The following is a 14857-nucleotide window of genomic DNA, read 5'->3' on the forward strand; positions in this document are numbered from 1 at the left end:
ACCTTTGGGCCCTATTTTGCAATTTTTAACATAGGCAGAAACCTCCTCTACTTTCCCGGGAGCATGCTCCAATTAAGCATGATGAGCATATTTCAATTAAGGTTTATATTTCATAGTATTTTCCCAGGTGTTAGTGCCTAGGTCCATAAATACAACCAAGAGAATCACATGGCTCTATAAGAGGGTCCCACTCTGTGCTTCTGATAGTGCATATATGTGACTCCAAATGTCTGTGCAGCCAGTAATTACAATGCTGTTTTTCTTATTGAAATAATATCAACATGCCAAACTATCATATCTTCTTGTGCAATTATTGTCAAAATCTGAGCATTGCCTTAAGTTACCTTAACATCAGAATTATCATTATAGTATCAATTTTAACCATTTTCTGGCTAATGGTTATAGGTTGTAATGTCCCGCAAGAGAAGTGCAAAGATAGAAAGTCCATTCCTGATGGTTCACAGTGTTGGAGGGACTCAGAGGTACAGGTCATCTGGAATGGCAGTGTGCAAAGAACGTTAGTGGCATGCATTGTTGCAGTCATTTTTTAATATGGGCACTAAGAATTGAATTCCAGGTTAAGGTCTTATTAATATTACTTGACCCAGGAACATGAGGTAGTTACCCAGTGTCTCCAGCTTTCAGACTAATAACTAGGTGTGCTCACTGAATTATCTTCCTTAAGTATCAGCTTTTCAAAGGACTTCCCTGCATACAAAATCAGCAGAGATGTCAAAAAATATGTAGGTAAATAAATGCAAGTTCTCACTTCAGAAAACACCAAATGCGTTCCATTGAGCGAATGTATAGAGATATCAACAAAATAGGGAAGTGTATAAAAAGGAGTTGTCAGCAATCATAAAATTGTGCAGGCTGGTCTGCTCACAGAAAACACTAATCTATTAGAGCGACTCACTCATTTTTTTCCCACCCTGAGGCAGGGGAATAGCATGATTATAATAGTAGAAGCATGAAAAAGTTATGGTCCATCAGAGACTTTCTGATGGTTAAATGAAACTTACCATTTGATTTTAGTTTAGAATTAAAACAATGAGGTTGACAGGTTTCTTTTTTTCAAACTGACCATTTGACTTGAGTGTATTAAAACTGCTAAACTGATTTAACCAAAACTACCCTTAACTTTCCTCTGGATTCTGTCTCCTGAGAGATCAAGCCTTAGCTAATAGATCATGCTTCTTAACCCCAAGATAATCTTCAGTGAAGCCATCTGCATGTTTTTTTCCCTTGCAGTCATTTTTAATTTTTCAGCAAAACATTGTGGAAGCAACTTAGCAGTCTTGTTTTTCCTCTGTTGGGTTTCTGAAATGACTGGAAATGTGACATCAGTGTTTAAGGAGAACTTCCTTTACAAAACTCAAAAGAAATCATTCTAGACAAAAAGATTATGAGCAAATGGAGCCTGTGTTCTATTTGTTTGATGACAAGTCCCAAATTAATCCTGGAGCTCAATAATCCTTTCCCATTGGCTTAAATGTTGATTTCGTTTTACAGATTGATTGATTGATTTTTTTTGTGACAAGGTCTTCTCTGTTGCCCAGGCTGGAGTGCAGTGGCACGATTTTGGCTCACTGCAGCCTCAACCCCCTGGGCTCAGGTGATCCTCCTGCCTCAGCCTCCTGAATGGTTGGGACTACAGGAGCATGCCACCCCTCCTGGCTAATGTTTTTTGTATTTTTTTTTTTTTTTTTTTGGTAGAGACGGGGTCTCACCAGGTTGCCAAGGCTGGTCTCAAACTCCTGGACTCAAGCAATCTGCCCACCTCGACCTCCCAGAGTGCTGGGATCACAGGTGTGAGCCACCAGGCCCGGCCAAAGCTTTACAGATTTTTGTCTCTGACTTTTCTGTTTTAAGGCAGCAGTGTGTGGTGGGTTGCATTGTATCCCACAAAAATGTATGTACAAGTTGTAACCCCTGATTCTGTGAATGTGACCTTTCTGGAAGTAGGGTCACTGCAGATGTAATTAAGTTGAGGATCTCAAGATGAGATCATCCTGGATGCAGGATGGGACCTAACGATAATGGCTGGTGTCTTTATAAGAGAAAGGAGAAGGAGATTTGAGACACAGACATGCAGAGAGGAAAGCGACATGGAGACGGAAGCAAAGCCTAGAGTGGTAAACCTACAAACCAAGGGTTGCCAGCTGTCACCAGAAGCTGGAAGAGAGGCATAGAAGATTCTCCCTTAGAGTCTCTGGAAGAAACCAACCCTGCTGGTGTCTTGATTGCAGGCTTCTGGCTTTTAGAAGTAGACTTCTGGCTTTTAGAACAGATTTCTGTTACACACAATTGGTAGTAATTTTTTATGTCAGCCCTAGGAAACTGATATATAATGTAAGTCTCCTGTGTGGCTCTAGGGACAATTCTTTTGTTCAAGAGGCTGTCAGAATGTTACAGGTACAGCCACAGAAGGCAGAACAACTGATGCTTCACCATCAGCTGCTTCTATCACAGAGATCGGTACTCACACAACCATTTGTTGGCCTTAGTTGGTGGAAGTGTGTGGCCAGGATAAAAGCCCATGGTGTGCTTGCAAATATCAGTGTTGTGGATAAACAGTCTGATTACTCCTACGCAAAGTGCAGATTTCCTTGACCAGAAATGCCCACACCAACTACCCATAGTTACAAACCTAACTTAAGACAAACCCATGCTTTCTGTGACAATGTAAGTCAGAAGACAACACCTCCCATTTCCTGAAGGCAGCACTTTTTTTCCTGAGCATAGTACAAATCCTCTTTTAATTTCTCTGAACTTGTATAACATGAAAGTTACTTACTGCTCCCCCAAAAGAAGAACAAAGGAAGAAAGGAAAGAAAGAAGGAGAGAAAGGGGGCAGGAAGGAAGAGACGAAAGGAAAGAAGAATGGGATGATGAGGAAAGACAGGAAAGCAGAGAGAGAGAGAGAAAAAGAGGAAGGAAAAGCCCTATTCACATCTGAAATGTAGAATGTACCACATTAGCATTAAAATCAAATTGCTTGCTGGGCAATGCTCATAGAATATTTGAATGTATTGTTCAATCAAACCTTGTCTATCTTCTTCATTGACCACAGAAAGGTAAATTCATTGGCACAATTGACCAGTGCAAGATGGAAGGGCCTGGAGGAGAGCTGGGATGAGGGAGGCCAGCAGCCACCTCTTAAGGGCAGCTGAAGTCCTCACACACTCAGACCTCATCTGCATAGCAAGGCAGGTGGGCCCCTTCTGTCGGCACTTAGCCTGAGTGCCATCACAGCCCATTTCAGCACGCTGTTGAAATTCATGCTGTCTCCATTTCTCATCAGATGGAGTAAGTAAACCAGCACCAGTGACAACACTGAAGCTTGTGGCTAATCAGAAATTTTCTGTGTGCTAACATATTTTTCTTTTATTTGGGGGTTAGGTCTTCAGTGAAACAGAACTTCCTCTGCCTTTTTCCTTTCCTCCTTCCATGCCCCTCTTACCTCTTAATTTCACGAAGTGGAGGGGAATTCACAGGACAGGATATCTGGCTTTATGACACTCTGTCCTGCAACTGAACAGTCACCAGATGAAAGGAATGATGGTATTTAAGAACAAACAAAAGGAAAATATAAATCCTTTGGGTAGCAGATATGTGTAATTTACTCTAGTTTTCTGTTTCAACTTTTAAAAGAATGCAAGATCTTAGACAATAGAGAGTCAGAAACAGGCCAGTTATAGCACTCAATCTCCCTCAATTAGGGTCATCACAAAAGCACTATTTATAAACATATGGTGCAACTTCATGGAATTAAAAGAATAGTGGATCCAATTTGCCATCTCCATCCACAATGTCCCAGGAGTCGTGAAAACCTGCTCCTTGTGGAGTCATTTTAAGCATTCTCAGCAAATCTTTCAGACTCTCTGGGTTCCACAGCATAACTCTATTTTCAGCTATGGACTTGGGCTCCAGGTCTCATCTCTTTATTCTCCATAGCCCCAATATTTATGGAAAAGTGTCATTGAATGGCACACCAATGTTGGCGAGAGCTGTATATGTCTAAGGAAAATGAAATATTTGGCACAACATCAACCACAACATCTCTAGTTTGTATCCATTTGCATTCTATTCTGTACAATTCTGACAGATCAACATTCCTAAAGGCCAGATTTAATCCTTGGAGTCCCTACAAGTAACCTTGGGCTTCTGCCGACCATGAAATGCTTAGACTGGCCTCATGGCCCTCCATGGTCTGGCCTGTGCTAGCTGTCTGCTCTTACCTTTTGCTGCTCCCTTTCATACACTCTTCCAGATGGAATAATTTAAGACACACATATGTATCAGGCTTTACTTCTTCCCCTTTGATTAACCATTCACTTGCCTGACCTTATTTTTTCTTCTCTCTCCCTGCCTCATATGTCATGCCTTTACATTATTTTGAGTGTTATTTGTGTGTTGGGTCTTGCTCCTACTCAACTGTAAGCTCTTAGGTGAAGGGACTTATTCACTTTTATTCCCTCTCCCTCTTTATTAGCACCTAGCACAGTGCTCTGTGTACAACAGACACGCCATAGTTATTCGCTGACTGCAAATATGAACAAATAAATGATAAGTAGATTAAAAGCTGAAAGATGAATGTCAAATAATTTAAATCATGGCTTGGAAAGATATAAATGGGGAAAATAAATCTAAATCACGTCATTCATAATTCATGAGAAAAATACTATACTTTGAATCATTTTATATTGTTACTCTGTGTTACAATTATTAAGCTGGAGTTCTCCCACTTAAAATGTCTGTGTATGGGTCAGGCTTGGTGGCTTACATCAGTAATCCCAGCAGTTTGAAAGGCTAAAATGGGAAGATTGCTTTGAGGCCAGGAGTTTGAGACCAGCATAGACAACATAGAGACTCTATCTCTACAAAAAAAAAAAAAAAATTAATTAGTCAGGTGTGCTACTCGGGAGCTACTGTGTGCTACTCCCAGCTACTTGGGAGGCTGAAGTGGGAGGATCACTTGAGCCCAGGAGTTTGAGGCTGCAGTGAGCTATGATCATGCCACTCACTGCAATTCAGCTTGGGTGACAGAGTTAGACCATGTCTCTAAAAAAAAAGTAATAAAATTCTGTGTATATTTATGTTGCAAGAGAAGTCAGGTTGGTAAATTATTATGTCATGTCAGTATTAATGTTAATTTTATGCTATTTCCTGTAAATGAATTTGGAGAAATGCACATTTTAAGACTGTATTACAAAAGAAATTCTATCTTGAGGTTCTGTTGCCAAGCCACTAAAAATTCAGTTGTTCATACTGTGAAGTCATCCAAACACCTCAAGGAATTTTTTCCTTGTACTGCATGATTGCTCATCTGAACACAAGAGGAAAATTTATATGTTATAAAGATTTGATGGGCATTTTTATCTGAAAAGGAAAATACTAAAAAAGCATAAAATAGTACAGAATCCTTGCTAAAAGATTTAATCAAAAGGAAGAGCAATCTGCTTTTCTACAAGATGCATATTCAGTGAATAACCAAGGAGCTGTATGCTTTCATAGAAAGTGTGGAAAGACGTGATTTCAACTTTTGATAATTATTTCCTTGTTAATAACAAAGGCTTTGGAGTATCATGGCTCTAAGCATCAAAAAGCAAGAGAGATATATCAGATCGAATACAAGACAAAAAAAGATCTAGCCCATTAAAAAAAAAAAAGACACAAAAGCATTATCATCTCCTTCCAGAGTTTCTCTCCCTGATCCTAAACTCTGCATCCTCACACAACTTCAAGCTTCAAGGGTAGAGAAGATGAGAAAAATGAAGTGATGGGGGAGAGGACAGGAAAATGGGAAGAAAGTGGGATAAGGAAGCTGGAGGGAGGATGCTCAGGAGTGGTTAGAATCACAAAGAAATGGGGAAGGGAATAAAACCTGCTATAAGCACCAGAGACAAACAAGGTGAATTGAAGATGTTTGTGTCATGTGTGATGTTCTACACCTGCTACTCCTGCTACTACAATCTAGTGGATGCCATGTGCCAGGCATGGTTCTAAGCATTTTACATATATTAAATCACTGAAGCTCATGGCACACCTACTGAGTGAAAGTCACAGAAAGCCTGACCCAAACAGTGTCAAACAAAACAAAAAAGGAAATAGGTTGGGTCTAGAACAGAGGCATCCTTCAGTCTGGGATTTATTCAAGGCTTACATAGTGTATCCCTTTTTCCATTTCTTTTCCTCAACTGGTGCTATATTGACTCCAGATCCTAGCAAGCTCCCCACTCCTAGTCCCAAAATGGTTGCCTACAGCTATGAGCTAGGTACATATTTCCTGTTCAATTAAAATGGAAATTTCTATTGTGCTTGGAAAAAATATGCAAAAATTTCAAGATCGTCCAACAGAAAAAAACTTGCTTATCTCTTCAACTTCCTCTCAGGCCCATTGTACCACTTGCACTCTACACTTCCATCACATGGGCCTCTTTAAGGTCTCAAATCCATCAGGCTCTTTGGTGGAAGTGGAGGTGGGTAGAAATAAAGGTTAAATAAAAGTCCTGGAATTTGTTGCCCTGATTGGGCAGATTTGCTCTTGTGATCAATCCTGTGAACCAATCCTACTTTGAGGAATGTGGGAATTGATGGTTGTTTTAAGCCAATTATATAGATCACCCCTGAAGCCAAGTGGGACCAATTCTATCCAAACTGGATTGATGAAAAATTCAAGGAACCCTTAGAAAGAGGGCAAGAAGAGAATCCTCATAATAATAGACTGGCGAAAATGAACATAAAAGTAGATGGCTAAACGTAAAAAAAGCAAAGAATAAAAATCTAAAATATTTTTGTAATACTGTTAATAGTATGTCTATATTTTCATATGTGTATATATATACATGCATGTATCTATACTGAGGTACAAGCAAGAGAAACCAATGTATGCTAATTTAGACAGAAAGGGAGATTTTTTAAAAGGGATTTTGACTGGTACAGAATCTCCTGAAAGTTGAGTGTCTTAGGTAGATTGCCAAGAAGCAGACCCTGGAGAATTTATGTCTTAGTGATTTATTAAATGATGCCAGGAGAAGCCAACTAGAGAGTGGGGAAGTAAGGCAGGGAATGGGAGAAAGCCCACACCCATCAAGGGTGCTATCCTATGCAAAGGTAGTTTCAGCCTGATCCCACAGGGGAACTGTATAGCAGAAGTTATGGCTGTCTTGCCCCAACTCAAGGCACAGAAGCTGGGCTTTCTTATTCCACATCTCTGAATCATTGGTTAAGAGTGCTCCTTGGAAGGCAAATTCCTAGGATTTCCAGCTTTCTATGCATTCTGGCAAAAGCTAGCTCCACAAGCCAGAGGACAGCCCTTGAGAGAAAGATTTAGGCACTGGCTTTTGAAATAGAAAGCACCTCAAATGCTGGGGAGAAGGAACACACAGAAAATAGCAAAAAAGGATCCAGTGAGACCTGGGCAATGCACAAATGCAATGCACCACTTTGAGACAATCAGCTTTCAATTTACACAAGCAGTAACAATGCTCCAAACCACACCCTGCAGCTGTCCCATGCACCATCAGGGAAATCTCTGATGCTGCTGGTGCCCTGCCAGCACCACTACCCACTGCTGCATCTAACTGCTGACTGCAGTCATTGCCCCATCCTCACTCCCATGGATTCTGCCTGTAACCTGCTCTTGGAATCTCTGACTTCTAAAGTCTAGCGTTTATGGAATACTACACAGCCACACAAAATAATGAAATCATATCTTTTGTACCAACATGGATGCAGGTGAAGGCCATTATCCTTAGTGAAATTAACAGAAAACCAAATACCGTATGTTCTCACTTATAAGTGACAGCTAAACACTGGTTACTCATGGACATAAAAATAGGAACAATAGACACTGGGGAATACTGGAGGGGGGAAGGAGGGAAAGGAACAACAGTTGAAAAACTAACTGTTGGTTACTATGCTCAGGACATGGGTGACAGTATCATTCATACCCCGAACTTCAATATCATGTAATGTACTCATGTAACAAACCTGCACATGTACCCCCTGAATCTAAAATAAGTTGAAATTACAAAAAACAAAAAATAAAATAAAACAAAGTTTAGGGTGCTAAGTGATGGCAGCCAGGGTGTGTTTATACATCAGCTGCAAGAAATGCCAGAAAAGGGAATATCTGGCATTTTTAGCTGTCGTATCAAGAGGCAAGATCCACCTCATTAAATATTAGGTGGGAATTCCCAAAACACGGGGAGAAGATGATGATGTTGTGTAGAAAAAAAAAAAAAAAGTAAGAGCCATTCACTCCACACACAAATGCATAAAACATTTAGAATTGGGCCGGGCGCAGTGGCTCACGCCTGTAATCCCAGCACTTGGGGAGGCCGAGACGGGCAGATCATGAGGTCAGGAGATCGAGGTCATCCTGGCTAACACAGTGAAATCCCGTCTCTACTAAAAATACAAAAAAATAGCCAGGTGTGGTGGCGGGCGCCTGTAGTCCCAGCTACTTAGGAGGCTGAGGCAGGAGAATGGCATGAACCCAGGAGGCGGAGCTTGCAGTGAGCAGAGATCATGCCACTGCACTCCAGCCTAGGCGACAGTGAGACTCCACCTCAAAAAAAAAATCCATTTAGAATTAATATGAAATTGCCATCAGAAATTACCTCTGGGGAGTGGAACCAGAGCTATAGTTTCAGGAGTGGGTGAGAGAAGATTCTTACTTCTCATTTTATATGTTTCGGTAGTATTTAAGAATTTTATAAGCGACATATGTTTCTTTTTTTGATTTCAAAGAACTGGTTTACTTTTTAAGACCTGTCTCTTTCTTTAGAACTGCTTTTAAAAAGAGGCTGGAACGTTTTAATTAAATTATGTACCCTCTGCTTTCAGGAAGGGAGGCCACTCAGATTTGGTGGCGGTGGTTACCATTCATTTTTTCATTCATTTATCAAAGATTTATTGATTGTATGCAAGGCCCAAGAAAGATGAAAGACAGAGGCTCTGTTCTCAAGGAGGGAATTAATGTTATGATGAGAAATGTCTTTGAATGTCTTGGGTTTTGTGTTATTTTCTTACATATTGGTGAACCTTTTACTTCAGATAGTAAGTACCCTCTACTATACAGCTTTAACTAGATTTACTTACGTTTTTTCCTATTAAATGGAATTAGGAAATATAAGTTGTACATCTTCACAATGATTTCCAAGCTAAATGATGTTGGTGGGGTCTTTGAAATGAGTTACTGTGGAAGTATTTTATGCTCTTGAACTTCTGTGGAAGTATTTTATGCTCTTGAATTTCATTCAAGAATTCAATTTAACTTCATTTAAAGATTTCATTAGAATTAGGTGACATCACCTTATGTTTTGTGTTGGTTTGCAAAAGACTTATTGCTAGCCAGATGTGCTCCTTTTGCTGATAGTAATATAAGCATTCTAAAAGTTCTAATTTCTAAGCCTTGGATTTAATACAAAACCATAGGTAATAAAGATGTATAAAAATCTAGCACGGAGTCCGGACGCGGTGGCTCATGCCTGTAATCCCAGCACTTTGGGAAGTCGAGGTGGGTGGATCACCTGAGGTCAGGAGTTCAAGACCAGCCTGGCCAACACGGTGAAACCCCATCTCTACTAAAAATACAAAAATTAGCCAGACATGGTGGTGGGCACCTGTAATCCCAGCTACCAAGGAGGCTGAGTCAGGAAAATCGCTAGAACCCGGCAGGCAGCAGCTGCAGTGAGCCAAGATCGTGCCACTGCACTCCAGCCTGGGCTGCAGAGCAAGACTCCATCTTAAAAAATAAATTTAAAAAAATTGGCTGGGCGCGGTGGCTCACGCCAGCACTTTGGGAGGCCGAGGTGGGCGGATCACGAGGTCAGGAGATCGAGACCATCCTGGTTAACATGGTGAAACCCCGTCTCTACTAAAAATACAAAAAATTTGCCAGGTGTGGTGGCGGGCGCCTGTAGTCCCAGCTACCCTGGAGGCTGAGGCAGGAGAATGGCGTGGACCCGGGAGGCGGAGCTTGCAATGAGCCAAGATCGGGCCACTGCATTCTAGCCTGGGCGGCAGGGTGAGACTCTGTCTCAAAAAGTAAATAAAATAAAATAAAATAAAATAAATTTAAAAAATAATAATAAATAAATAAATCTAGCACTGAAATATTCTGTCTTCCTGACATCTAGTATTGATTTATGGAACATTTATGATATGGTCAAGCCAAGTGGTAGCTTGAAGGAGGATGCTTTATCCCACCCTCAACAATCACTCTCAGTCCCCCCAAAGCCACCTTAGGCAAGGAGCTGGATGTGTGAATGCAGCAGCGGGATGAATCCAGCCCCTTCTAGCAATCAGCTTATCTCCCCTGATGCCTCCTCTCTAGATACTCTGGAGCTACTACTGCTTTAAAACTGGCTGAACTAAAAGAATGTGCTAGTCTTTTTTTTTTTTTTGACAGGGTCTTGCTCTGTCACCCAGATCGGAGTGCACTGGCATGATCACGACTCACTGCAGCCTTGAACTCCTGGGTTCAAGCAATCCTCCAACCTCAGCCTCCCAAGTAGCTGGAACCACAGGTTTGCACTATCACGCCCAGCTAATCATTTTTTTATTAATTTTTGGTACAGAGAGAATCTCTCTATGTTGCCTAGGCTGGTCTTGAACTGCTGGGCCCAAGTTATCCTTCTACCTTGGCCTCCCAAAGTGCTGGGCTTCATGAGCCACCATGCCTGGCCTGCTACTCTTAAGGTAGTTAAAACTCTTTCATTTGGAATTAATTTGTTATGTAAATCATGTTTTAAATCCATCTTTACATTCTGAAATAAAACATGTCAATTCAGTTGGTTAAAGCAATGTTTTCAATCTGTATTCCATGGAACCCTAGGGCTCTGCAGAGGCCTCTTAGGACAGTGAGAGGCAGAGTTTAAGAGAGAGGCTAAGGGGTTGAAGCTTTAGAGCTCTGCTTCCCTGCCCCAGCTCAGTGACTTTCCTCTCAACTTTCTATGCATTGCGCTTCCATGTAAAAGTTTGTTTGGAAAAGGTTTCTGCTGATAAACATAATAAATACTTTAAATTTGAGATGTGTGCTCTCTTCAACTCAGAAATGTAACTTTTAGAAACCATTCTGCAGAAATATTTGCACACATGCTCAGAGATGTATGTATCAAGAGCTCCTTTATCATTGTTTTGTAATGACAATAAATTGGAAACAATCTAATATTCTTTAATAGGGGCATAGTAACGCAAGCTATACTATGAAATACTATACAGCTGATAAAAATTCATGGAAAGATCTTTTGGACATGTTAAGTTTTTTAAGAGCATTTTTCAATACAATGTGAAGAGTATGGTCCCATTTATGTAAAAGAAAGCTGTATATCTGCCTATTATATACATGTAAGTGCTTGGAATAAAGAACTAGAAGGGTATACATGAACTGTTTCCAGTCATTACCTCTGGGGAGGATAATATGTAGACTTGGGAGGCTGGTAAAGAGGTACTTTTACATTTTACTCCAACTATTTCTCAATTTTTGAATGTTCTACGATGAGAATTCATTCAAGTAGAACTTGTGTATGTTATTAAATAAATATTTTTTTCCAAGAGTTTGGAAACCACTGAGTTAAAGCCTGGTGCTAATGAGGCCATGAATATATGCCTTTTCCCTATATAGGCAGGTTGGTACCTCATAGAGAAAATCTGTTTGTCTGACAAAGGCTGCACCCCATATAACCCCAGCAAGCTTTTGCAACCACACATGGCACCTGTCACAATCAAGATCAAGTGAGAGGGTTTGACTGGTTAATTGCCGGCCCCCCAGGTCACAGCATGTGTTTTGTTGGTAGGTTTGTGGCTTCATCCTTTGTTCTTCATTTTAAATGGCTTTATTGAGATATATCATACACTTAACCCATTTACAGTATACAATTCACTGGTTTTTAGTATACTCACAGTTGTGAAACCATTACCAAAATCAATTTAGAACATTTTCATCACTCCAAAAAGAAATCCTTCACTTATTAACAATCACTCCTCATCCCTCCTCCTATTATCCCCAAGCCACAAATTTACTTTCTGTATCAATAGATTTGCCTACTTTGGACATTTCATATAAATGGAATAATATAGCATGTGGCCTTTTGGGTCTAGCTTATATCAGTTGGCGTAATGTCATTCACGTTGTAGCATGTGTCAGTACTTCTTTCCTTTTTTATTGCTGGGTAATATTCCATTGTATGGAAACATCACATTGAGTTTATTCATTCATCAGTTGGTGGACACTTGTGCTATTTCCATTTTTTGGCTATTATGAATAGTACCACTATAAGCATTCATGCATAAGCTTTTACGTGGATGTATGTTTTAATTTCTCTTGGTGGTATGTCCAGGAGTGGAATTGCTGGGTCATATGGTGATTCCACTTTTAACATTTTAAGGAACTGCCAGACTGTTTTCCAAAGTGGCGACATCATTTTACATTCCCACCAGCAATTTATGAATGTTCCAATTTCTCCATATCTTCACCAGCACTTATTTCATCTCCCTTTTTAATCATAGTCATCCTAGTTGGTGGGGAGCTGCTGTATATATTATTGTGTTCTTTAGAATGACCACTTGTATGAATTAGGCTTCTGCTCCAATAGTATTGCCTATAAACAATCTCAAAATTCTCTGGCTTGAACCATAAGCATATATTTCTTCCTTATGGGTTTGCAAGTTGACTGTGGTTCTACTGGGCTTGGCTTGGCAGTAGTTCTGATCTGTTTCATGTGTCTTCAACCTAGGACCAGGCATGCTCTTCTCACAGGGGATCTCAGAACCTCAAGCAGCAAGCAGAAATACTCTGTGGCCTGGGACTGGCACTTGTTATTTCTGCTGTCAAACCTTTGTCCAAAAAGTTCATGTTGCCAAACCCAACTTCAATGAAGCCAGTAAGTAAACAGTGGCTCACAGTGGCAAAGGGCAAGAGTGTATAATTGTATTAAGTAAGGAAGAGTGGAAACAGTAATCCAGTCTACTTTACCACTCAATTCCCTGTCCCCAGTTCCATCCTCTTTCTCAGTTTCCAGCACTGCTTAGCCATTATGTTATTATTATAAATTGATGTCATTCAAAATTCCATGTCTCTCAAATCTCAGAAACTCTCTTAATTCCCCTAAGAACTCATTTCCCAACTTCTCCATTTGAGGCAACAACACCCAAATTTAGAATTATTAAAAGACCAAATGATTAAGAATTACAGTGTCTTTCTCCCATCAAGCCTACTCCTCTTTTGTATCAAATGCTGCTAGCTGCTATGCAATAATGTTTTTTTTCAAAACAAAAACAAAAACAAAACAAAAGAAAAACAGGTGATTTTTTTCTGGTAATGTTCTTTTTCCCAGCCTCCCTTACTTGCAGCTGGGGTTGACCCTGTGGTGAAACTCTGTTGTAGACTTCTGGAAAAATTTGGTTTCCTCGTCATTGTCCCTGACATTGAAGATAATTCAATGTCCTTGTCATTTTCTTCGTATTGCTTTGTCTAGGTCATGGATATGAAACTAGAGGTGGAGTGACCATACTTTAACCATAAGGTGATCACAGCAAGGAAAACCAGATGCAAAGAATTGGGACATAGAATGGAAGAAGGCACATGAACACTGATAACACATGGAACTCTGACTCAGCTGGCATACTCACTTCTGGAGTTTTTGTTTTGTCACTATCTTGTTGATAAAGCGTCAGTACCTTTGCACCAACTATCAAGTAATTTACAAACTCCTTAGTGTGGTAATTAAGATGTTCCAAAGCTGTCTCTAAACTTCTAATCTTTCATCTCATGATTATTCTTTGATTTACCACTAACTGGCCACCCAAGATCTATTCTTCATCCTTCTCTGCCCTGCTCTGTGCCCTACCTAGAGGGTGATGCTGGTAGCCCAAGTTACCCAGAACCCCTTGCTTGTTAGCTGCTTGTTAAGTTTGGCCAATGGGATGCACTGGCATAAGGAAGCAAGAGTGGGAAGAGAAAAATTTCAGGATATTTCTTCCCACTGCCCTGCTTTGGTGCTTCCCTTCTGGCAATGGCCACTTGCTTCCTGACCTGAGCTACTACCAGGTAGCTCCTCCTCCAGGGCTCCAAATCTCACTGGGTCTTCAACATGATTTCTTCCCCTTACCCCTTAAGCCCTAGAGTGATAATGGCTCTCCATTGCTGCCAATATCTAGGTGCCTTAACATCTCTATTTTATTCTTATAACCCTGTCCAATCTCTATACATGGTCCTTGAATTCTAGTGCCTTCACAAGAACCATCTGCAGTGAATTATTTCCAGCTGGCATCTGACTAATACAGTAAAACCTCTCCTGGCACATGCATTTGGGCTTGTATTTCAGCAACTTTTCTCATAATCCTCCCTTTGCTTGAAATCCCTGTCCTCCCATCTCTGTGTCTAGTTGTCCTTCAAGGCCTTCTCAAAACACCACTCCTCCCAAGTAGCCTTCCTTAATCCCCACAACATGGGAAATCTCTTTTTCCTTGAACTCACTCAGCACATACTTGATAGTAATTATATTTTTCTGGTTTAAATTATAGTGACTTATGTACATGCAACTCTGGCCAGTTGGTAAACACTTTGAAGTCTGAACTCACATCCAGGTCTGATTTGTTTTTGTTTTTGTTTTTCTTCTTTTTGCTTCTTCCCAAACTTTGCTTCTCTCTCCCAAAAGCTTGGCACCAAATGGGTACTGTCTCATTCATTTGTATTACTACTTATTACTACTTACCACTTATTACTGCTTCTTATTAGTACTACAAGAGATAACAGTTACAGTGAACACTTTATCAAAAAATAGAAAATGATGGAACAGACTAAAATTTTCCTTTTGGTGACAACACATTTGTTGCACTTAAAATA

At 40.3% G+C, this 14857-nt stretch overlaps 1 pseudogene across 1 annotated transcript in view, besides 1 other annotated feature; it reads right to left on the reverse strand.

The window, feature by feature from the left end:
- The window catches only part of RPSAP52 (ribosomal protein SA pseudogene 52), a 68955-nt pseudogene that overhangs the window by 37903 nt on the left and 16195 nt on the right, over positions 1–14857 (reverse strand). The gene's annotated exons all lie outside the window — the stretch shown is intronic.
- Positions 3034–3535: an enhancer, noted in NCBI's record as "OCT4-NANOG hESC enhancer chr12:66192736-66193237 (GRCh37/hg19 assembly coordinates)". NCBI's record gives its function as "activates a minimal SCP1, AML or CMV promoter by ChIP-STARR-seq in primed H9 embryonic stem cells {active_cell/tissue: H9 hESC(primed)}" and the evidence as "EXISTENCE:reporter gene assay evidence [ECO:0000049][PMID:30033119]".

This window comes from Homo sapiens, chromosome 12 (assembly GCF_000001405.40).
Source record: "Homo sapiens chromosome 12, GRCh38.p14 Primary Assembly".
Classification (NCBI taxonomy): Eukaryota; Metazoa; Chordata; class Mammalia; order Primates; family Hominidae; genus Homo; species Homo sapiens.